The sequence below is a fragment of the Homo sapiens genome, chromosome 1 (assembly GCF_000001405.40).
Source record: "Homo sapiens chromosome 1, GRCh38.p14 Primary Assembly".
In the NCBI taxonomy this organism is placed as follows: Eukaryota; Metazoa; Chordata; class Mammalia; order Primates; family Hominidae; genus Homo; species Homo sapiens.
In genome coordinates this window covers 91599089-91600788 of record NC_000001.11, presented here as the reverse complement: position 1 = coordinate 91600788, position 1700 = coordinate 91599089, and the positions used below count along the sequence as shown (strand labels likewise).

The following is a 1700-nucleotide window of genomic DNA, read 5'->3' as shown; positions in this document are numbered from 1 at the left end:
GTACAGACTGAGTAGAAAACCCAGGGCATGTTTGCGTGACAGCAACGTTTAGCTGGTGTGGAGAGAAAATGAATAGCAGAAATGGTCAGAAAGAAGGTCTGCCTAAGAGTTTGGACTTTAATTCCTTTGGCAAATGGGAACCATTAAAGTTTTTTTGCTAGTCGTTTTGTTGTCATTGGTCTCTCTCTCTCTCTCTCAGTCTCGTGCACGCATTTTTTTTGTAAAGACAGAGTCTATGTTTCCAGGCTGGTGTCAAACTTCTTCTTCTTCTTTTTTTTTTTTTTAAATGAAAGGCCTCACGTATTTATTACTGAACCCAGCCCAACCAACATGTTTATAACAGATTCAGAGAGGAAAACATGTTGAACTCTCCAGATAGTGGTGACATTTTCAGCTTGATATGGTAACATGATTGTGACGTTCAGACAGCATAAATACGTGTGCCATCTCATGTGCAATTCCTTATAGACCCAGCTTAGTTCTTCTCCAATGTCTCCTTTTGGAGTTGTACCTGATTTTATTACCAGTTTTCATCTGAATCCACTGGGGAACAGGACGATTTTGCTTTTGTTTCTTGGCCAGGAACTACTTAATTCTGAAAGTCTTGTGAAAAGACATGGCGAGAAGCGGAGTCAAGCACACACCACGATGGCGGAGAAAGGAAGAGAGGGCGCTGGTGTCAAACTTCTGGCCTCAGTGATACTCCTACCTCAGCCTCCCAAAGCACTGGGATTCAGGCAAGAGCCACTGGACCCAGCCCTCATTATTGTTTTTGAGGTATAATTTGCATGCAGTAAAATTCATCCTTTTTAGCATTCTATGAGCTTTGGCCAATGTATGTATTCATATAAACACCACCACAGTCAAGCTATAGAATGTTTCCAACATGTCACGACGTTTGTTTATGCCCCTGTAGTCAACCTTTCCCCCCACACTAGCCCCTCAAAACCACCGATGTGGCCAGGTGTGGTGGCTCATGCCTGTAATCCCAACACTTTGGGAGGCTGAGGCGGATGGATCACCTGAGGTCAGGAGTTCAAGACCAGCCTGACCAATATGGTGAAACCCTGTTTCTACTACAAATACAAAAAATTAGCCGGGCGTGGTGGCAGGCGCCTATAATCCCAGCTATTCAGGAGGCTGAGGCAGGAGAATCCTTGAACCTGGGAGGCGGAGGTTGCAGTGAGCTGAGATCGTGCCATTTGCATTCCAGCCTGGGCAACAGAGCGAAACTCCATCTCAAAACGACAACAACAACAACAACAAAACACCGATCTGTTGTCCATCTCTATAGTCTTCCCTTTTACAGAATGTCCTATACATGGAATCATATAGGAAGCAGCTTCTTAAATGTGGTTTCTTTCACTTAAAATAACACATTTGAGATTCATCTATGTTTTTGTGTGTGTCAAGAGTCTGTCACTTTCCTTGTTAAGTAGTATTCTATTGTGTGGATATACCCATTGTTTATCCACTCACCATTTGAAGGGCATTTGGGCTATTTCCGGATTGGGACGATTATAAATAAACCTACCATCAACATTCATGTACAGGTTTTTGTGTGAACATAAGTTTTCAATTCACTTGGGTAAATTCCCAGATAAATAAGAGTAAGATTGTTGAGTTGAATAAGTGTTTATAAATGTATGCTCAACTTCATTTTAAAAAGAAACCTACCGGCCGTGGCTCACACCTGTAAT

General features: G+C 42.4%; 1 pseudogene; it reads right to left on the bottom strand.

The window, feature by feature from the left end:
• Positions 282–671, bottom strand: RPL39P13 (ribosomal protein L39 pseudogene 13; annotated as a pseudogene).